Genomic DNA, 22,932 nt, shown 5'->3' on the forward strand with positions numbered 1-22,932 from the left:
GGAAATGGAAGCATGTGGGTTTAGATAACCTGCCCAAGCTCACATACAAACAAAGCTGGGACTTGAACTTTGCTCTGTGGAACCCTTTGGCAGTTAGCTGATATCTGCTGCAGATAATAGCATACTGACAAAAAGTCCCTTAAATCCTAAAGCATATGTTTTTTAACATGGCAGGGAATCTGGAAGGATGGCTGTTCAGCAGCACAGTGATATCCTCAAGAACTATGGATTTCCACCTTTCTACTCTGCCCTATGTGTTGCTAATGTTTCATGTTCAAGAGCATAGTGCTAGCGGTTTCGGGCATCCTAGGAAGCCATGACTACGTTTATTTAAGAGGAGGGAGAATGTTCTTTATAAATCTCTTTTTTAATTTGTGAGAAAATCTTTCCTCCAGTGCCCCCAGTAGGATTCTCTGCATGTGCTATTGGCTAGTAATAAGCCACACATCTAGGCCTAAATCCAATCACGATTCACTCTCTGAGATTGTTCAAGACGTCGATTTCCCTTAGCCAGCAAAAAAAGAAGGTACACTGGGAGAGGGCTGGTGATGCTGTTGGTATGGCAAAAAGAAAAAAAAAATTGTCTGCCACAAGCACTACAACAAACTTCTTGTTCTAGGGATTAATTTAGTTTTAATATGGCTGATGGAAATGGAGGTTGGGAGAAGAGAGGAGTACAGACAAGAGGGGAGAAGAGAAAGGGAAAATGTATTGAGCACTTCCATGAATTAATGTTAGCTCCTTTTACATACTTCACAATATGCTCTTCACATGGTACTTTTATTATACCCATTTTCTAGAAGCTCTTTTAAGTCTTTCAAATCACACTTGAAAATGGCAGTGACGATTTGAATTCAAATTGATGATTAGAAGGTACATGCTCTCTAGAGATACTGGTTTGTTTTATACTTGCATCTAAGGTGGATAACTTCTCCCCTTAGGGGAGAATGGCTGGAAGTTATCCACCTTAGATGCAAGTATAAAACAGACCAATATCGAAGAATAACTCCCATCTTTTGGAAAACTTGTCTAATGCCTCTTTGCACCTTTAACCTTCTTAACACCCCGAATTAAGCTAAGTCATTCATCCATTAGTTGTATGCACAGCCTGTTGTGCAGTCGTCTATGTTTTTACTTCTTGGTATTCTCTGAGTAAGAGGAAACGTCTGTGACCTTCCACTGGATCCTTGCTTCCATATATCAGAGGCTAAGGCAATCACAGACAGCACTGGTGGGAAACCAGAACAGAAAACACACACACACACATGCACACACACACACACACACACACACACACACACACACGAATGGAACGAGGAACTCCAAGAGGGACTTCTAATATTTCATTGTTATTGAAAATTACACTTCATAAAAAGTCTTGTTCATTTAAAGTTTGAAGAGTGACAGAAAAATAGCTTTCATACTCAAGTCTGCTAAATGTATGATAAATCAAAAAAGATGGAACAAGGAGAAACTTCAAGAAAAACAAAACAGAAAATCAGTGTGTAGTATAAATAACACTTCATTAGTGCTGTAATGCCTTACAAAACAGTCTAAAAAATTCCACAGGGTAATCGTAGTGTACAGCGCAGAAGAGAATAATTTACTATCGTTAGGCGTTTGTAATCCCTACAATGGAAAGGAGAATGTATGCATGTAACCCTTTAATGATAGTGGACTTGCAGGCATAAATCCCTAAATGATGAGATGTGAATACATTTTATAAATTCAAGTTTCTGTTGGGGAAGAAAAGTCAGGCTGTCTGGTTTGACTGGCATGCTGACCTAAGTCAATTACTGAACCACGGAGAGCTGTAGCCTTGGGAGTGTGCTATGTTCTTTCTACGGTCTTAAGAGAGGCCAGGCTCAGGGGTTGAGCCTAGCGGGCTGGTCTCTCGCTCATCAGGCACACATCAACACTATAAACACACAGTTTTTAGCTAGTGGCAGTCAATGCCAAAGGCCTGGCAGCATGCCACACCATCTCAAGGCACTCTCAGCAATAACTCAAATGTTTTTCTGTCAGAAAAACTTTTTCTGTACTGTTTTCAACACTTCAGCTTAGTGTGGGACCGAAGCAGAACGAGGGATAGGAAAAATTAATAATTTTACACTCCAGCTTTCAAAGCCCCCTTTCCTTTGGTAGCAGAGTTTCTTCTTTTCATTCTATTTAATTCTCAAACTCTCCTCAACAAAATCTTCTCTGAAGCAAAGACCTAAAACTTATTAACACGGGAATCCAAATGAAAGACAATAGGTTAATTGTTACTTCTCCCACAGGTGTTTTAAAAAATGTTAATGTGGATTCAATCCTTAAACTAAGCAAAATTTAGAAAAAGTTTTCAAAGGAGTGTTCTCTGGACAAGGATGCCTGGATGTTGGATGGGAAGTAGGGAGTTCCCAGAGGCTAGATTGGATATTATGGAAGGATTACTAGAGTTTAACCACGGAACTGTAAGAATTATGATCAGGCAGAGAACAAAGCAGTAGATCAAATCTAAAAGGGAGACAACATAAATATGAAGAAATAAGATTTCAGGTTAGACGCCAGGAAGAAGGGGCCCAGGTTGGAAAGCAGAAGCATGAGACGAGAGTTCCAGGACCAGTGATTCAGGGGAGGCTGTGAACAATACAGAGAGGGCCAGAAACCTGTTGTTACATCATGTTGGTTACATGGGACAAGCTAGGTTAAAACAGGAGTTCTTCAGCTGGTGGGAGGGGTGGTCTGAGAGAGAGAACAGTGATCCAAGGACAGCCTTCAAGAGGTCTGGAAAAACCCTGAACTCTCCTTTAAAATGTGCAAGAAGAAAACTTGAAGCTTTGATTAAATTCTCAAAGCAATATGTCACCCTAGAATGATTAAATATAGCAGCCCAATGAAAAGCACCTTTGTGGACCCTGTGGATCCCGTGGCAGTGGCGGTCATCTACTGTCAGTCATGTAGTTCAGCCTGGTTCCCACACTCTGATTCCATCTTCTTTAAGCACTTGCAGCAGGATTGGTAATCATTCGCATTCCTTTCTTCCAGTTAGTACCCCTAAAGGAGGAAAAAATGGTTTTGCTTAACATGGACTATTATGAAATGGCATCTCTCTCTCTGGTGACTCACAGGAATGAGGCGCCCTTCTCTGGAAGGGTAGGTTGCCCACAATAATATTGTCTTTGTTCTTCTAGATGAACAGCTAGTCCATCTCAGTCTCTTGCCTTATAGATCTCTCAGGTATGAGCCAAATGCCAGTCCACTAGATATCCTGGGCTCCAAGGGCCACATATCAAACTCTCCAAAATGCCTCTGTCCCTAGGATGATGGTTGAAAGGGGGATGGGAATGAAATGCACAGGATATTAATAGCTCTTTACAAAAATATTTTAAAATTTTATATTTCCCAGGCATATTAACTTCAAATATTTTGTGCTCTCAAGTGGATGCCAAGCCAAAGCCTCAAAGCCTGTAATTAGCTACCTTCTTTGCAAACCCTGCATTAATCATCTTATTTTGAGATGTGGGGAAAGTTGGAGTGTATTTTTGGGGGGCCATGAATAAAACAAAGATAGAAATAGTTTGATTTCAGCAACTTCTTACTCATGAGTATGTTAAGGGATAGGAGGAGTATCCCATGGCTATTAACAGTTTCTACTGGGGACAAGCACCAACCTATCAAAGCACAAAATATAATATTTTGAGGAAATTGGTCCTGGAAGAACCATGGCACCATCTGGTTCTTGGAAAAATAGGCACGCGTTTACTTTACACTTGAAAAGGAAGCTTTTCTGCTCTGAATTGTACTGTTTCAAGTTGATAAACCTGTTTCTGAAGGGCACATGTTGCTTTCTTTATTGGATGCTTATAGTGACACATTCCTGTTTGTGGGGGAGCTGCACAGGGTAGGCAGGGGAGGTGAAGACTCAGAGGAGAGACAGGGAGGAGGGGTTCCCAAATGTCTTGATATGAAAAATAGGAAACAGTTCCTTTTTGAAAACCTGTAAGTTAACCAGCAGTAGCAACAACGATGAACTGTCATGCAGAAGACTGGCTGAGGTTTGGGTTATAAAACAATATTTGCCATCAAGAGGGTTTTAGTATTCCAGTTTGCAGCAGGAGTGGCTTGTGGCCAGGCTCAGCCTTGCTAGAGAAGCTCAGAGGGTTTTCTTATAAGTCCCAAACTATTTAAAAAACAGACTCAAACACAGTGATATCTCACTTATCCAGCCCCTTGCAAAACAGATGTTCCACAGAAACACATTTCTAGATGATATTTAGGTTTATGTTATAATTTAATAAAGCTTGCAAAATAATTTTGTTCATTTGTTTTTCTTATTTCAGTCTGATCCTTATAACAACCCACGGAATACAGCATGGGAGGCTTTATTAATCTCACTGACTTGCCCACACAACAGAGGTAGCATAATTGGTTTTTGCCTTGCTCCCCATGGCTCTCAGACTTCTGACCCTAGGTATATCTCAGAAACTTTTTCAATATATTAAAGACAGGATAATTTGTGAAATCCTACTAGTATTCACTCCTAGGAAAAAGAAGACTGAAACCAGAATTGCGTTGAATATAATAAGGGTTTTAAGTATCTTTTTAATATTTTAAATATTTAAAATACCTTTAAATAGTGCCAAGTACTATTAGGTACTGTCAAAGAACAAAGGAAGATCCTGGACTTAAGGAATCTCTGGGATGAGGTCAATGTGGTGGCTGGGATGGTGCTGGGCCAGGGGGCAGGGAGTCTGGGAGGCAGGCCATTTCTAGAAGGGCCACGCAGGAAGGAAAGACAAAAAGCGGGGGCTGGATGTGGGGCAGACATCAGCCTGAGAGGGTGGGCAGAGTATAATGGGGTCCTTAGCAAGACAACGCCTGAGCTGGGCAAGGCAAGGTGAGATTATGTGGAGAGCCACCCACTACCACCATGTTAGCAGTTTCTTCATGTATGGGATCATCCTGTCCAGCCCAGTCTCAAAGAGACCATTCCCAGTGCTTCTGGGGTTTTAAGAAGGTAATAATGGAATGACAGGCATGGCCACTAATGGATGTTTTATTATCCTAAGTTTACCCAGGAATTTCTTATTTCCTATGACCCTGTTATCAAATTTCATCAGCTTTTGCAAAAATGAAATGTTTATCCTACTGGAATTTTTTGGAGATCTCACACTTTATAATATTTGCAATGCCCTTGTTAGGAAGTATGTAAATCCTATTCTATTAAGTTTTTAAAGTTGAAGCTCAGATAATCCATTGCCCAGGGTCTTCTGCTGAAAGGACGAAAGGAAGTACTGTATCAGACTCCAAAATCAGCATTATCCCAAAGCTAAATGTCTACTCAGAAGGAGAAATAGAAGCATCCTTTGACCACCAAAGGAAGTCCCTTCCTTCACCCTTGGTATATTTCTCCTACTAGTAAAGGGATCCATTTCTGCCTGCTCCTGAGGCTTCTTTCCAGCCTTGCCTTCTGTGCCTTTCCATGGCTGCAGGTTCTATTCTTGAATTAACTTGACTCAGTCAGTTCCAGGGTTGGCCAAAGGAGTACTCACCATTTGTTCTGGGTTCCCAGCTACTTCCTGCAGTTAATTCCTAGAGAAGTTGCGGCTTTGGGAGCCTGAGGTTCTTGTTTTTGATCCTGAGTCTATAATAGCACCTCACTCTTCATCATACCCTCCTAGCCCTTATAATCACCAGGAGATTTATCACTGTCCCAGTCTACACTGGAGGTTTCATTCTGGGCCCCCTTCTGAGAAGTTCTGTAGTTTTTCCAGGTCTTTTCTTCAGCTTCTGCCTTTTCCTTCTCCAGTCAGTGGGGTTCCTCCCCCTAACCCAACCCAGTGGCTAGGGCTGAATATTGACTGCAAGTCAGTCTGGCTTTCTAGGATCAGAGTATCATCTGGGGCCAGGATTCCTTGCTCCTGGGTCCTATTCATCTGCCAGACTCCTGCTCCATCATGTTGGTTCCCAGTGCCAACCATGTGCCTGAAAATTGACTGAAAACCACAATAATGTTTAGCCATGATGAGCCACCTCTCAGCTCTGCTGCTGTCAAGTCATCATCTGTTCACTGCCACCCTGGGCCTTCTGATAGCTCCTACCATACTGGACTACTTACAAATCCTAAGAGAAAACAATCTTTCTGGGTTATTTAAGCCATCTCTCAAGTATCTTCTTAAAAAGTAGAAAGACAGGATGTCCGTTCTAAGATGGCTGAATAGGAATAGCTCTCGTCTGCAGCTCCCAGCATGATCCATGCAGAAGATGGGTGATTTCTGCATTTCCAACTGAGGTACCTGGTTCATCTCATTGGGACTGGTTGGACAGTGGGTGCAGCCCATGGAGGGTGAGCCAAAGCAGGGCGGGGCATCGCCTCACCTGGGAAGCACAAGGGGTCGGGAGATTTCCCTTTCCTAGCCAAAGGAAGCCATGACAGACTGTACCTGGAAAAACGGGACACTCCCACCCAAATACTGCACTTTTCCCAAGGTCTTAACAACTGGTAGACCAGGAGATTCTCTTCCGTGCCTGGCTCGGCGGGTCCCATGCCCACGGAGCCTTACTCACTGCTAGCACAGCAGTCTGAGATTGAACTGCAAGGCTGCAGCCTGGCAGGGGGAGGGGTGTCCACCATTGCTAAGGCTTGAGTAGCTCACAGTGTAAACAAAGAGGCCGGAAATCATGAACTGGGTGGGTGGAGCCCACCGCAGCTCAGCAAGGCCTACTGCCTCTACAGACTGCACCTCTGTGGGCAGGGCATAGCTGAACAAAAGCCAGCAGACAACTTCTGCAGACTTAAACGTCCCTGTCTGACAGCTCTGAAGAGAGCACTGGTTCCCCAGTATGGCATTTGAGCTCTGAGAACAGACAGACTGCCTCCTCAACTGGGTCCCTGACCCCCATGTAGCCTAACTGGGAGATACCTCCCAGTAGGGGCCAACAGACACCTCATACAGGGCGGTGCCCCTCTGGGACAAAGATACCAGAGGAAGGATCAGGCAGCAATATTTGCTGTTCTGCAATATTTGCTGTTCTGCAGCCTCTGCTGGTGATACCCAGGCAAACAGTGTCCGGAGTGGACCTCCAGCAAACTCTAACAGACCTGCAGCTGAGGGACCTGACTGTTAGAAGGAAAACTAACAAGCAGAAAGGAATAGCATCAACATCAAGAAAAAGGACATCTACACCAAAACCCCATCTGTAGGTCACCAACATCAAAGACCAAAAGTAGATAAACCAGAGCAGAAAAGCTGAAAATTCTAAAAAACAGAGTGCCTCTTCTCCTTCAAAGGATCGCAGCTCCTTGCCAGCAACGGAACAAAGCTGGATGGAGAATGACTTTGACAAGTTGACAGAAGTAGGCTTTAGAAGGTCAGTAATAACAAACTTCTCTGAGCTAAAGGAGCATGTTCTAACCCATCACAAGGAAGCTAAAAACCTTGAAAAAAGGTTAGACAAATGGCAAACTAGAATAAACAGTGTAGAGAAGACCTTAAATGACCTGATGGAGCTGAAAACCATGGCGTGAGAACGTCGTGAGGCATGCACAAGCTTCAATAGCTGATTACATCAAGTGGAAGAAAGGGTATCAGTGATTGAAGATCAAATTAATGAAATAAAGTGATAAGACAAGATTAGAGAAAAAAAGTAAAAAGAACAAACAAAGCATCCAAGAAATATGAGACTATGTGAAAACACCAAATCTACATTTGATTGGTGCACCTGAAAGTGACGGGGAGCATGGAACCAAGTTGGAAATCACTCTTCAGGATATTATCCAGGAAAACTTCCCCAACCTAGCAAGGCAGGCCAGTATTCAAATTCAGCAAATACAGAGAACACCACAAAGATACTCCTCGAGAAGAGCAACCCCAAGACACATAATAGTCAGATTCACCAAGATTGAAATGAAGGAAAAAACATTAAGGGCAGCCAGAGAGAAAGGTTGGGTTACCCACAAAGGGAAGCCCATCAGACTAACAGCAGATTGCTCGGCAGAAACTCTACAAGCCAGAAGAGAGTGGGGGCCCATATTCAACATTCTTAAAGAGAAGAATTTTCAACCCAGAATTTCATATCCAGCCAAACTAAGCTTCATAAGTGAAGGAGAAATAAAATCCTTTACAGACAAACAAATGCTGAGAGATTTTGTCACCACCAGGCCTGCCTTACAAGAGCTCCTGAAGGAAGCACTAAACATAGAAAGAAACAACCAGTACCAGCCAATGCAGAAGCATGCCAAATTGTAAAGATCATAGATGCTAGGAAGAAACTGCATCAATTAACAAGCAAAATAACCAGCTAACATCATAATGACAGGATCAAATTCACACATAACAATATTAACCTTAAAGGTAAGTAGGCTAAATGCTCCAATTAAAAGACACAGACTGGGAAATTGGATAAAGAGTCAAGACCCTTCAGTGTGCTGTATTCAGGAAACCCATCTCATGTGCAGAGACACACATAGGCTCAAAATAAAGGGATGGAGGAAGATCTACCAAGCAAATGGAAAGAAAAAAAAAGGGGGTGGGGATGCAGTCCTAGTCACTGATAAAACAGACTTTAAACCAACAAAGATCAAAAGAGACAAAGAAGGCCATTACATAATGGTAAAGGGATCAATTCATGAAGGAGAACTACCCTAAATATATATGCACCCAATACGGGAGCACCCAAATTCATAAAGCAAGTCCTGAGAGACCTAAAAAGAGACTTAGACTCCCACACAACAATAATGGGAGACTTTAACACCCTACTGTCAATATTAGACAGATGAACGACACAGAAGGTTAACAAGGATATCTAGAACTTGAACACAGCTCTGCACCAAGTGGACCTAAAAGACATCTACAGAACTCTCCACCCCAAATCAACAGAATATACATTCTTCTCAGCACCACATTGCACTTATTCTAAAATTGACCACATAATCAGAAGTAAAGCACTCCTCAGCAAATGTAAAAGAATGGAAATCACGACAAACTGTCTGTCAGACCACAGTGTAATCAAATTAGAACTCAGGACTAAGAAACTCACTCAAAACTGCACAATTACGTGGAAAGTGAACAACATGCTCCTGAATGACTACTCGGTTAAATAATGAAATGAAAGCAGGAATAAAGGTGTTCTTTGAAACCAATGAGAACAAAGACACAACATACCAGAATCTCTGGGACACATTTAAAGCAGTGTGTAGAGGGAAATTTATAGAACTAAATGCCCATAAGGGAAAGCAGAAAAGATCTAAAATTGACACCCTAACATCACAATTAAAAGAACTAGAGAAACAAGAGCAAACAAAGTAAAAAGCTAGTGGAAGGCAAGAAATAACTAAGATCAGAGCAGAATTGATGGAGATAGAGACATAAAAAACCCTTCAAAAAATCAATGAATCCAGGAGCTGGTTTTTTGAAAAGATCAGCAAAATTGATAGACTGCTAGCAAGCCTAATAAAGAAGAAAAGAGAGAAGAATTAAATATACACAATAAAAAAATGATACAGGGGATATCACCACTAATCCCACAGAAATACAAACTACCATCAGAGAATACTATAAACACCTCTATGCAAATAAACTAGAAAATCTAGAAGAAATGGATAAATTCCTGGACACATTGACCCTCCCAAGACTAAACCAGTAAGAAGTTGAATCTCTGAATAGACCAATAACAGGCTCTGAAATTGAGGAAATAATTAATAGCCTACCAACCAAAAAAAAAAAAAAAATCGGGAACCAGACAGATTCACAGTCAAATTCTACAAGAGGTATAAAGAAGAGATGGTACCATTCCTTCTGAAACTATTCCAATCAATAGAAAAAGAGGAACTTCTCCCTAACTCATTTTATGAGGCCAGCATCATCATGACAGCAAAGCCTGGCAGAGACACAATAAAAAAACAGAATTTTAGACCAATATCCCTGATGAACATCGATACAAAAATCCTCAATAAAATACTGGAAAACCGAATCCAGCAGCACATCAAAAAGCTTATCCACCACGATCAAGTGGGCTTCATCCCTGGGATGCAAGGCTGGTTCAACATATGCAAATCAATAAACGTAATCCATCACATAAACAGAACCAATGACAAAAACCACATGATTATCTCAATAGATACAGAAAAGGTCTTTGACAAAATTCAACAGTCCTTCATGCTAAAAACTCTCAATAAACTAGGTATTGATGGAACGTATCTCAAAATAATAAGAGCTATTTATGACAAACCCACAGCCAATAGCATACTGAATGGGCAGAAACTGGAAGCATTCCCTTTGAAAACCGGCACAAGACGAGGATGCCCTCTCTCACCACTCCTATTCGACATAGTGTTGGAAGGGCATAGTGTTGGCCAGGGCAATCAGGCAAGAGAAAGAAATAAAGGGTATTTAATTAGGAAAAGAGGAAGTCAAAATGTCCCTGTTTGCAGATGACATGATTTTATCTGTAGAAAACCCCATCGTCTCACCCCAAAATCTCCTTAAGCTGATAAGCAACTTCAGCAAAGTCTTAGGATACAAAATCAATGTGCAAAAATCACAAGCATTCCTATACACCAATAACAGACAAAGAGGGAGCCAAATCATGAGTGAACTCCCATTCACAATTGCTACAAAGAGAATAAAATACCTGGGAATCCAACTTACAAGGGATGTGAAGGACCTCTTCAAGGAGAACTACAAACCACTGCTCAATGAAATAAAAGAGGACAAAAACAAATGGAAGAACATTCCATGCTCATGGATAGGAAGAATAAATATCATGAAAATGGCCATACAGCCCAAGGTAATTTATAGATTCAATGCCATCCCCATCAAACTACCAGTGACTTTCTTCACAGAATTGGAAAAAACTACTTTGAGGTCCATATGGAACCAAAAAAGAGCCCACATAGCCAAGACAATCCTAAGTAAAAAGAACAAAGCTGGAGGCATCACGCTACCTGACTTCAAACTATACTACAAGGCTACAGTAACCAAAACAGCATGGTACTGGTACCAAAACAGATATATAGATCAATGGAACAGAATACAGGCCTCAGAAATAACAGCACACATCTACAACCATCTGATCTTTGAAAAATTTGACAAAAACAAGAAATGGGGAAAGGATTCCCTATTTAATAAATGGTGCTGAGAAAAACTGGCTAGCCATATGTAGAAAGCTGGAACTAGATCCCTTCCTTACTCCTTATACAAAAATTAATTCAAGATGGATTAAAGACTTAAATATTAGACCTAAATCCATAAAAACTCTAGAAGAAAACCTAGGCAATACCATTCAGGACATAGACATGGGCAAAGACTTCATGACTAAAACACCAAAAGCAATGGCAACAAAAGCCAAAATAGACAAATGGGATCTAATTTAACTAAAGAGCTTCTGCACAGCAAAAGAAACTACCATCAGAGTGAACAGGCAACCTGCAGAATGGGAGAAAATTTTTGCAATCTACCCATCTGACAAAGGGCTAATATCCAGAGTCTACAAAGAACTCAAACAAATTTACAAGAAATAAACAAACAACCCCATCAAAAAATGGACAAAGGATACAAACAGACACTTCTCAAGAGAAGACATTTATGCAGCCAACGGACACATGAAAAAATGCTCATCATCACTGGCCATCAGAGAAATGCAAATCAAAACCACAGTGAGATACCATCTCATGCCAGTTAGAATGGCGATGGTTAAAAAGTCAGGAAACAATAGATGCTGGAGAGGATGTGGAGAAATATGAATGCTTTTACACTGTTGGTGGGAGTGTAAATTATTTCAAGCATTGTGGAAGACAGTGTGGCGATTCCTCAAGGATCTAGAACCAGAAATTCCATTTGACCCAGCAATCTTATTACTGGGTATATACCCAAAGGATCATAAATCATGCTACCATAAACACACAGGCACACATATGTTTATTGTGGCACTTTTCACAATAGCAAAGACTTGGAACCAACTCAAATGTCCATCAATGATAGACTGGATTAAGAAAATGTAGCACATATACACCATGGAATACTATGCAGCCATAGAAAAGGATGAGTTCAGGTCCTTTGCAGGGACATGGATGAAGCTGGAAACCATCATTCTCAGCAAACTATCACAAGGATAGAAAACCAAACACTGCATGTTCTCACTCATAGGTGGGAAGTGAACAATGAGAACACTTGGACACAGGGCAGGGAACATCACACACTGGGGCCTGTTGGGGGGTTGGGGGCTAGGGGAGGGATAGCATTTGGAGAAATACCTAATGTAAATGATAGTTGATGGGTGCAACAAACCAACATGGCACATGTATACCTATGTAACAAACCTGCACATTGTGCACATGTGCACAATAAAAAAAAGTAGAAATATGTGCACAATAAAAAAAAATAGAAAGACAGGAAAATGTAAAATAGTGTCATTTTAGTGTTAATTAACATATCAGATTATCTTTCAGTGGAAAAATACAGGCAGCATGAAAGTGTCATTAAAAAGTTGAGTCTGTTGAGTTTGTGTTGGGGGTAAAAAGAAATCTGAAAATGTGAAAAATTGCAAGTACAGATTAGCTTTTTTCAATTTTGCCAACACTGGCATGAGGCTGTTAGAATCCTGTCTAACAAATGTATGAAACCGTAAAAATATTTTTCTTGTCGTTTAACTTGGTTCTGGAAATTCTAAAGGGAGACTTTCAAATAAAGTACAATTAATCACTCCAAATTCAGTCATTTTGAGACACTTTGTTTCTGGAATAATTGAATAATTATATGATACTTTTAATGCAAGTTTTTGATACATATTTCTATACCCCAAACTGAAAACTACTTCAGAAAAAGGATAATTTCATAAAGTTTTGCATCTTGAGAACTTTTGAATTGAATAAAACAATTTTATGTTGAAAAATAGAAGATTTTTGTTTTCTGGTTCTATTCTGTACTTTGTTTTTTAGTTTTTCCCTTCCCTTCTCTTTCCTCTATCCATTTTTTAGCTCCTTGCTCATATTTTTAATCAACTTATAGCACCTAGTTCTGTGATTTGAACATGGTAGGTGCTGAACAGTGTTTGTTAAATTGAATTTAAGTCAACATCACCACATATGGGCCCATTTTACCTACAATTTTAGGGCAAGGTTGACTTTTTGTCTTTCTGTTGAGTGATGAAAGCAATTTGGCAGGAGCTAGTAACTTTTCATTCCCTGGAATCACTTTTATTATTTATATACTATTTGTAGTACAAACATGTTTCCACGAACTTAAGCGACTAGAATGTAGTTTTCTACTTAAATTCAATTCCTCTATTTAGGAAACTTCTATCATATAGAGTTTGGCAAAATTCAGAAACTGGTAAGAAAAAAATGACTGCAACTATTCTTGGGATAGAAGAGAACAGAGATGAGAAATATTCATTAAATCCCTTCACTCTTACCAGACCCATAACTGTTTCCAGAACCCATTCAATCTAATTTTGTGTCTTGCACCATTTTATTTTGGGCTTACTGAACTTCACTGCCACAGGAGGGGGAATGGGTTTGGCAACACAGTTCAGACTATTCTTTTTTCCTCTCTCTTATCCCATCTTCCTCCTAAATGGTTTGGGTCTTGGCAAAACCAAAAAGTGTTTTTCTCTAGTGCTTTTAATTTTTTTGTGTGTTTAATTTTTAACTAAGTGTGCATTTCAAAGAGAATGTAACCCAGCTGTTTTTTATTCTTTTAAACAACAAAATGGTAATTTGTAAAAACCATTCAATGTCCAAGAAGACTTTAGCCCCTTAAAAAAAAAAAAGAAAGCTTTTCTTTCTTTGAACCAAGAATACAAGCCTTGCCAAAAGGGAAGAGTTGGAACCAAGAAAGACTGGGATTTGATTTAATTTAAACTTAGAATTTATAAGTGAGAGAATGATTGCAGCCTTGGCAGAATGTAAGTATTTCCAGGTAACTGAAATTTAACTCTTTTATTTATGAGCCTTGACCACATCCAATAGTGGTACTTCTATATTCTCTTCCCTGAGGATTTCTTGGAAGGGAAAATAGTGTCTATGTGTGTGAGGCTTTTGGAAAGTGGGGACAATGAGCAAGCAGTTGTAACAGAAGGAATAGTAATCCTACATACCCAGCAGCACTGAAACAAAAAAGTAAAATCAACGCTGAGGTCTCAATATTTATAAAAATGATCATTTTCACAGAAGCGAAAATGAAATTTACTCTTAAATTATTTACAAGTAATTTACTGAATGATTATGACTTTTAATAAAAATAGAAAGAAAGAGAGATATTTCACTTATGAGAGAGAACATTTCCTAATTCTGGAAAGATCTATTGTGATACAGTAATTCATATTTTAATCATTAACTTTTATGTACTCACTGAAACAGATTACTAAAGTTCCTCCATTTGGCAAAACTTTGTTTTTCTAATTAGATTGTTTTCCCAGTAATTGGACGTAACGAAACTGTATTTGTCTGAAGACATTTTATAATTCAAACATTTCATTAATGGCGAACAAACTTTCTCCATTTTCTATTGCTCTGAATTAAATTTTACTGGCAGTTAAGAAGAGATTATTTTTACAGATTTTTCTATTAAAAAAGATAAATTGTTCACATGATAAAACTGGATGTTAGTAAGAATTATGTTGATAACCGCAGCAAATTTGGCCCAGACACATTATTTCCTACTGACTTAAAAGTGATACCACTTTCTATTATAAGACTACTTTGCATTTGTTATCTCTAGTGTTCTTTTGGCATTGGTCTAGTAATGTTTTATACTTGTTTCTTACTTTTAAAAGTTTTATTCTAAATGAAGTTCAGTTTAACATACGTGCACTGAGAGCCTACTATGTGCCTGGTGTTGTCAGGACTCCAGAGAATCAAATACAAAAAAGTAAAAATTCATTCTCGCTGGTAATCTCACTGTGGACTGGCTGCAGGGTAGCAGAGGGGGTGGGTGTGAGGGCAAGAAAGGGACTGAACACCAAAAAAAGGACAAATGCAATTTCAGAGGGTGGAGAAGAATTAGGGCCTCTAACTCATCAGAGCTTCATAGGAAGTAGAAAAAGAAAGTTCTTGTTCAGGTGAGAAGTAGCTCCTAGAGGCGCATGGTTTGCAAAGTGGACAGTGCCTACGTGCAGGGAAAAAGAAGTTGGTGCTTCTGGGTGGCTACCGCCCACACTTGGACTGTTTGCCTGGAAAGGGTGGCAAGGACTGGATTTGAGGCCTCATTTACTTTGCCTGCTACATTGACTCTCTGAGGAGACAAGAGACAAGAGGCATAACTACTGCATTGACTCTCTGAGGAGACAAGAGGAATCGGGAGAAAACTCATGTCTGATAAAAAGCTTTAAGAGGTTGTTGCGGGGATTATGATTTTAAACCCCCAACATAATCTTACAAAAGCTTCACCAAAATCTCTATTGTTTAAGAATGCTTTTGGTGCTTTTTTCTTTTTTTCCTGGAAGATATTAAGTAGTATTGAAATCTGCATCAAAATTGATTTGAGGGGTCAACAGAGGATAAGACATCTGAATCACAAAGATAACTAAGTCACACTCCTGCCCTGGAGTATCTCACTGACTAGTGGAGACAGATGGACAATCTAGAGAGGTAATTTGAATATAGTCTGGTAAACTCAAATATCATATATGCAGAGGGTGTGCTGTCTCAGAGAGCAGGGGCCATATCTAAGCTGTGTCCTGGACAATACCTAGCAACATTCACGTATGTGGTACATAACTACTTGCAGAATCAAACTGCAGAAATAGTGCAACTCTGGATCTACTTACTAATCTATTTTTCTCACCTTCAAAATTTTTTCTTAAACTAAATCAGTTATAATTTATTTACTTTTCCTCAGATCCAAAGGAAATAAAATAGTTTGAGAAAGAATGAATGGGCAACTTTGAGGCATTTTTTTGAAAACCATTTGTGTTTTTACTTCCTATTTCCTTATTGTTTAGAAAACAAATACATGAATAAAATTCAAGTTCAATAGCTTGTGCAGATTTTTCTTAAGCTAGTAATAGAAAGCACCAAGAATCCCAGTGCTTTGCATTGTGAGAAATTTGAACTGTTCTGGGCATTTATTTTAATGGTAACAAATGTGTAGCAGAGAAAAAAGAAGAAAAAAAAATATGACAACATGAAGTCATCATCCTTCCAGTCCAGGGTGAGAGCTCTTAGAATGACTTAGTGATGGATATACTGAAGGACAGAACCGATTACAAAAAGACTAGGGCTGATAGGACCACACAAGAAAAGAGCAGTGGCTCACACCTATAATCCCAACACTTTGGGAGGCCGAGGCAGGAGGATTGCTTGAGGCCTGGAGTTTGAGACTAGCCTAGGGAACATGAAAAGATCCTGATACACAGAATTAGTCGAATGCAGTGGTGTGTGGCTGTAGTCCCAGCTATTTGGGAAGTTGAGGTGAGATCAAGTTTGCATTGAACCGTGATCATGCCACTGCACTCCAGCCTAGGCAACAGAGTGAGACTCTGTCGCAAAAAAAAAAAAAAAAAAAAAAAAAAAAAGAAAAGAAAAAGAAAGAGCAGGTTGGTGAGAACTGGCTTGGGCAAAAAGAGAAGGATGTGGAAAACATAGAAACCTCAGGCTATTTGACTACATTATATTGTGGAAAAGATGGAAAGGCTTGAAAAGGCTTGCATCCAAAAAAAAGTCTTTGAAAAATGTCATTCTTATTGTTATAGTGCCCTGTGAGTCTCTACAGTTTTTCTTTGCCTCTTGGAGTTTTTGTATTAAAATTACAATACCCTTGGTTTTTACAATTTTTTTTTTACCATTATTTGTCAAGAACTAAGTATTGCTTTTTTACCTATGACAACAATTTGAAAAGGAAAATCTGTGTGGAGTCAGGAAGTAGGTGCTCCTGACTGGAGAAAAAGATCCAGGAGGACAAGTGGGAAGATGCTAGAGGAAACCTATGGTTGCTTCACAAATTTCTTCAAGGACAGCCTTACCCTACAAAACAGACATCGTCCTTATGACCTAACACTTTGGTAATCAAGATATAAACTCATCCACTTTCTTGCTTGCATGGAAAGAAGGAAGAGAATGCATATATAGTCAATATCTGTGAATTATTAGGTGTTTTTGCAAATGATCTTTCATGTACTTAAAACAATTGCATGGTATACCAGTTATCATTTCTATAGCTAATGAAAAACAGAGTTGGAATGTAAAACCAGAATTCTAACTTTGAGTTCAATTCTCTTTTTCCTTTTCAAGATGATTGTTCATTTCCTGGCTCTACTTGTTTCCTTTTTCTCTCTAACTATCCCACTATTGGTATTTTGGATATTCTTAGTCACATCTTCTCAGAACAACTCCCTGAATTAGGTACTATTGTCCCAATTTATAGATGAGGTAATTGAGGCACAAACAGATGAGACAACAGGCCAGCGTTGCAGAGCTAGATAACAGTGCAGCCAGGATCCGTCTCAGGTACGCAGCCATGCTCTGAGCCACCCCTGGGGCTTTTTCTGCCTCTTGGTTTCCAAGAGGCCATCCCATTTTGACTGTGACCTCCCTAGCATCCTGAGGACCCACTGGCTTATTTGTTGTGGGTATCAGTAGAGGCCTGAAAAAAACTTCCAGTGACCTTGGCACTGAGATGATCTACAAGTAGATGTGCAAAATTTGGCCGTTGCCATGGTCCCTTCAATAAGGCCAGATTAGTGATGGGAAAACTGAAGAGTTTTGTCTGGCGTGGAGTTCCTGTGACTGCTTTCATCCTGGTGCTGTCCAAGACCAATTTGGAGTTTACAGAAAGAACTAATGGGAACCAGAATAATTGGAAACATTTTGCAGAGATAAGCTAGCAAGTTCAGACTTCTATTTTTTTCTAATGAAAAAACCATAAAGGAAATATGTCAGAGAGTGAATATTGCCATCTCCCCTCCATCTCTAGTGGAAAGCAAGCAGGTAAGCAACAGGATACAGGGTGTCTTAGCAGAGTCTCTCATAACTCTGCCCCTCACTTGAGTGTAAATCATTCTCCAATTGCAGATCAGACATAAATCGTTCTGAAACCAGTGCTCACCAAATGTCATTGTGTTATTGAGACATAAATCCTATGTCAGCTCGATGAAATGTCTATGGCCATTGCATTAAACAAATCAAGGCAACTATTTAACGATTTCCAAACATTCTATTATTAAAGTTCAGACAAGAGGTTTGAGAGGAAAGCCATGTTGAAGTGGACTTTAAACAGCCATTTCTCACATTTGTTTGATGAACAATAGCTGTAATGAGTGCCCCAGCTCTGAAGTCCGTCTCAGCAGAAGGGCTTAGAATGGACAACATAGGTCATCAAGAGGAAGCAGCCCTGAGTTTTGGGAGCCCCCTTTGACCTTTGCAACCTCTCAGTATGTAAAGCACAGGCATCTGTATTTTATGTTGATGTTCATCTCAGGCATCTCTGTTTTAACCTGTCTCTAGAGCACCTTCTACAGAGTGAAGAATGACAAGAACTTACTTTGTCCAACAGTTGTGATACCAGTCATCTACTAAGAGCTCCCATATATGTAAATTAAGTAGAGCATTTTATACCTGGACAGCTCCTTAGAGTTTCTGAGAATTTCTCCATGCATTTGATCTACATCCTGTTCCCCTTTCCCTGCTACTCTATAGAAAAATTGAAATGATCAAAAAAAGAACTTTTCTAACATCTTGCATCTACACTACAAATTTATCTGCATCTTCTTTTCCATCCCTGATGTCAGCATGGGAGACATTTTCTTCCGTTGACCCACAATGAGTCATTCCACCTATCCTGGAGTTTCATCCTTTTTGTCCCTCCCCCACAACGCCCACAGGGACTTTGCAGTACTGAATTTTTTCTCATCCTTGCTCTATGTACAACCTTTTCTTTTTTTACTGACCCCTTCCCATTAGCATTTAAACAGACTCAAGTCCTCCACACATTTAAATAAACAAATAAGCCTCTGTCAAACTCCACCCCCATCTTCTGCCTTATATGTATCCTTTCACTGCTAAACTTTTGTAAAATGGATACGTAATAATTGTACATATTTACAGGGTACACATGGCATTTTGATGCATGCATACAAACTGTAATGATCAAATCGGGGTAGTTGAGATATCCATTACCTCAAATATTTATCACTTCTTTGTGTTGGGAACATTCCAAATCTTCTCTTTTAGTTGTTTTGGAAATACACAATGAGTTATTTGTAACTATGTTCACCCTACTCTCCTACTCTTCACCTCCCGTTTAATCCTCAAGTCATGACAGTCTGCCAAAGTCACTGGGTAGGTTAGAAGTCTGGCTATAAGTACAAGAAAACCCAACCCAAACTGGATTAAATTATGAAGGAAATTTTGGCTCACTTAATTGGAATACCAGGGGTAGAACACTGATCAGACATCATTCCATCCTGTGGCTCCAGGTCTGCTCTCCTACATGAATCGACTGGGCACAAGATGGCTGCAGTTGGTCCTGACTTCACCTTGGCACACAAACAGTATTCAGAAGACAGAAAGCCATCCCTTCTTATGGGTTTTTTGGAAGCATAGAAACTTTTCCCACAAAGTCTCAGAAATTTCCTTTCACATTTTCTTGGTGTGAATTATGTGTTATGTGCCAATTCCTGAAACAATTCTTAAGGCCAGAGGGACGCCATGCAAGTGTCTCACTTACAAATATTAAAATTTCTCATGTATCAGTGGTTCTCAACCAGGAGTGATTTTATCCCTGAGGGTACATTTGGCATTGTCTGGAGTCATTTTTTACGGTTATGACTGTAACCGTGTGGTAGTAATGGCATCTAGTGGGTAGAGGCCAGCGATGCTGCAAAACATCCTACCATGCACGGGATATCCCCCTACAACAAAGAATTACTAACCTAAAATATCAATAGTGTCAACACTCTTTGTTATCTCCCACCTCCCATAAATCACTAGCCTCTGTGAATGCTAACTCTCACTTTCCTACTTCAAGTAACTATCATTGTTCACTTGTATTATTTCACTTGCATCATTTTTCTAACTGGGATGTCCAATTTTGCTGCCACTCAATTCACTTTGCATAATGCATTCTATGTCAATTAAGATCTGGCTATTTAAGAAATAAAATAAAAATAAACAAGATATAAATTGATTTTTCTCTCACGCAAAAGAAGTCTGAAGTTAGGTGGGTCCAGGGTTAAAAGTAGAGTTCCTTGGCATGGACCCAAGTTTGTTCTATCTTGCTACTTTGCTATCTTTAGCATATGAATTTTTCTATGTGTTCCAAAGCATTTGATTGAACAATGGCAATCACAACCATTGTGTCAACTAGCAAGAAGGGAAAATGACAAAGAAGGGGTTAACTTCCTAGAAGTTAACCATATTTATTCTGCTTACAGCTCATCAGACATTTATTTAGTCCTACTTCCACGCTTAGCTATGAAAGGCTAGCAAATGTGGGGCTTATTTCAAGTGCCCGTGGATTTAACTAAAAATTACTATTTCTACTATTAAGGAAGGTGTGAGAAAATACATATTGTGTAACAACCAAATAGTCTCTGCCAGAAAGTCAGAGTCATCTTTCTAAAGAGAAAAAATGGTCATGCAATTGCTGCTTAAAAATCCTTTTTAGATGACTCTATATGACAAATAGAATAAATTTCGAACCCTCTAATTAAAGAGGTTTAAAATGCTAATCACAGCTGGGTGTGGTGGCTCATGTCTGCAATCCTACCACTTAGGGAAGCAGAGGCAGGTAGATTGTTTGAGTCCAGGTGTTTAAGACCAGCCTGGGCAACATGGTGAAGCTCTGACTCTACAATAAATACAAAAAAAATTAGCCAGGCATGGTGGTGTGCACCTGTAGTTCCAGCTACCTGGGAGGCTGAAGTGGAAGGATCACCTGAGCCAAGGCACTCCAGCCTGGGTGACAGAGTGAAACCCTGTCTCAAAAAAAAAAAAAAAATGCTTATCACTCTTTGATCTGTGCTGAACTTCTCTGGTCTTGTCTTTAATGATTTCCCCAAACTTATGCTATCTTCTCAAATGCAGTTATACTGCACTTATTAACAGGTTCCTAAATTACTCTTTCTCTTTGTCTCTCTCTATGCCGCCTTCTCTGCCTGAATTGCCCCTCCTTCACTTACCTAACTTCTGCTCCTTGTTTCTCTCTTTTCTCAGATCAGATGTTATTTTCTCTGGGACTCCTTTCTGGACACATCATGACTGAGTGAGGAGCCTCTCTTCTGTTTTCCCACAGCCCAAAATGCTCAGCCCTGTTTGAACAAAGTGTTGTCATTGCCACTTTTCTTCTTGCATTGGCCCTTTAAGTTGTGATTCTTTAGGGCAAAGATTGTGTCATAATACATAGTAAGCACTTATTAAATAATACTTGAATAAATGACTGCATTACCTCATTTGGCCCTCAGAAACACCCTTCAAGGTAAGCAACGTTATTTATTTTTACAGACTAATTAACTGAAGTTAAGGAAATTTATGTGTGCCCAAAGCCATAACACCAGCAAGAGGCAGAACTTGGGCTGCTTCCAATTCTGATTTCCAATCTGGTTCTCACTTTACAATACCACAGTTTTTTTTTTTTTTTTTTTAACTTATCCTCTCTTACACTTACACTGTAATATTGACTTTGTGCTTTGTGTCCATGGTCATTTCGCAGTAGCACCCACTTGCCACTTTCAATTCACTCTAAGTTGTTACAGATCTTTCAACTGTTTTCCGTTCAGTCTTATATATGCAGATGTTATAAACCTCTCTCCATGTATGCCTTTGCCTTGAAAGTATTTAAGACAAATGCAAAACCTGAAGGACGTCATTGGTTCCCTATCCAATCTTCCTCTTCGGCTTTACTGAAAATATAATTCCTTTTGTTTAGATATTTGGTGGCCTTGTGTTTTAGAGAAAGCTGAGCTTCCCTGATCCACAAAGGCAATCTGTATTAGTCTAAGCAAGGATAGTAATCCTATTCCCCTTTCTAGGAGCTCATTTAGGAATGGGCGTATAAAACCAATTTGCCAATAATATTTAAAGGAAAGTCTACTACAGTGCATCCTGTTTTTTTTTTTAAAAAAAGGACACATTGAGAGGTTGTGGCATGTCTGTCTCCATGCTGTCATCAGCATTTCATCTTTTCATCTGCTTTGACCATCTTGGGTCCACAAGGAGTGTCAGTATGATGAAGACGGCAGAGGGGACAGACAGATGCATCTGGTTCCTGATGACCTCCCTGAGTTTTGAATAGGTCAACTCCTGAACTGTCCTACCTTAAGATTTCCTGTCATGTGAGAACCTCAACATTACTTAACATTTAAGCCACTCATACTTGCATTTTTTCTGCTTCCTGCAAGCAAGAGCATTCTAAATAGAATACCAACCTGGAATTGCACTGGGGAACTCGTCAAAATGAACTCTACACTGACCTTTCCGTAAAGAAAGTCACATTGCTTGATCGTTCTCTTTCTCAAATTTGGATTTCAGTGTTGCTCTTACATGAAATGCCTAATACATATTAATGATATATGAAATATATTAGATAATCTCTAAATTGTATAAACCTGAATCCAGTTTCCAAGAAACCTGTGCCACACTGCTATGACACTGAGTATGACCTTTCTCAGGATTTTTCATCCTGAGACCTTAGTTTTCTTCTCTCCAGTCTTTTATGCACAGATAATATATGCCTTTGCCTTGAAAATATTAAAGACCTTGGAGGATAATTCTTTGGGTCACTAACTTTCTAAAACATATATATTCCTTTAAAGTAAAACCGTGCTGTGAAAAAGGTCTTTCACACCCCATTTCCCATCAGAACTCTAACTCATTTTAGCCTGCTTCACCTCTTCCTCTGGGAAATATGAGACATGCTGTCTTTGAAAATAGTTTTGGCTTGTGAAAGGGAAGCCCATCAGTCATATTTTCAGGTGTAAGTCCTAAATTATATATTTAAAATAAAATATATCCTC

The 22,932-nt window shown here is 39.5% G+C and overlaps 1 long non-coding RNA gene across 1 annotated transcript; it reads right to left on the reverse strand.

Moving 5' to 3' along the window:
- Nucleotides 1-1,330: 1,330 nt before the first annotated feature.
- On the reverse strand, nt 1,331-21,525 carry LOC124904454 (uncharacterized). The gene is made up of 2 exons (XR_007066729.1): nt 21,100-21,525; nt 1,331-3,036 (listed from the first exon to the last, which is right to left on the reverse strand). It is a non-coding gene; the product is annotated as an uncharacterized LOC124904454 (long non-coding RNA).
- Between the last annotated feature and the right edge of the window lie 1,407 nt (nt 21,526-22,932).

This window comes from Homo sapiens, chromosome 1 (genome assembly GCF_000001405.40).
Source record: "Homo sapiens chromosome 1, GRCh38.p14 Primary Assembly".
NCBI lineage: Eukaryota > Metazoa > Chordata > Mammalia > Primates > Hominidae > Homo > Homo sapiens.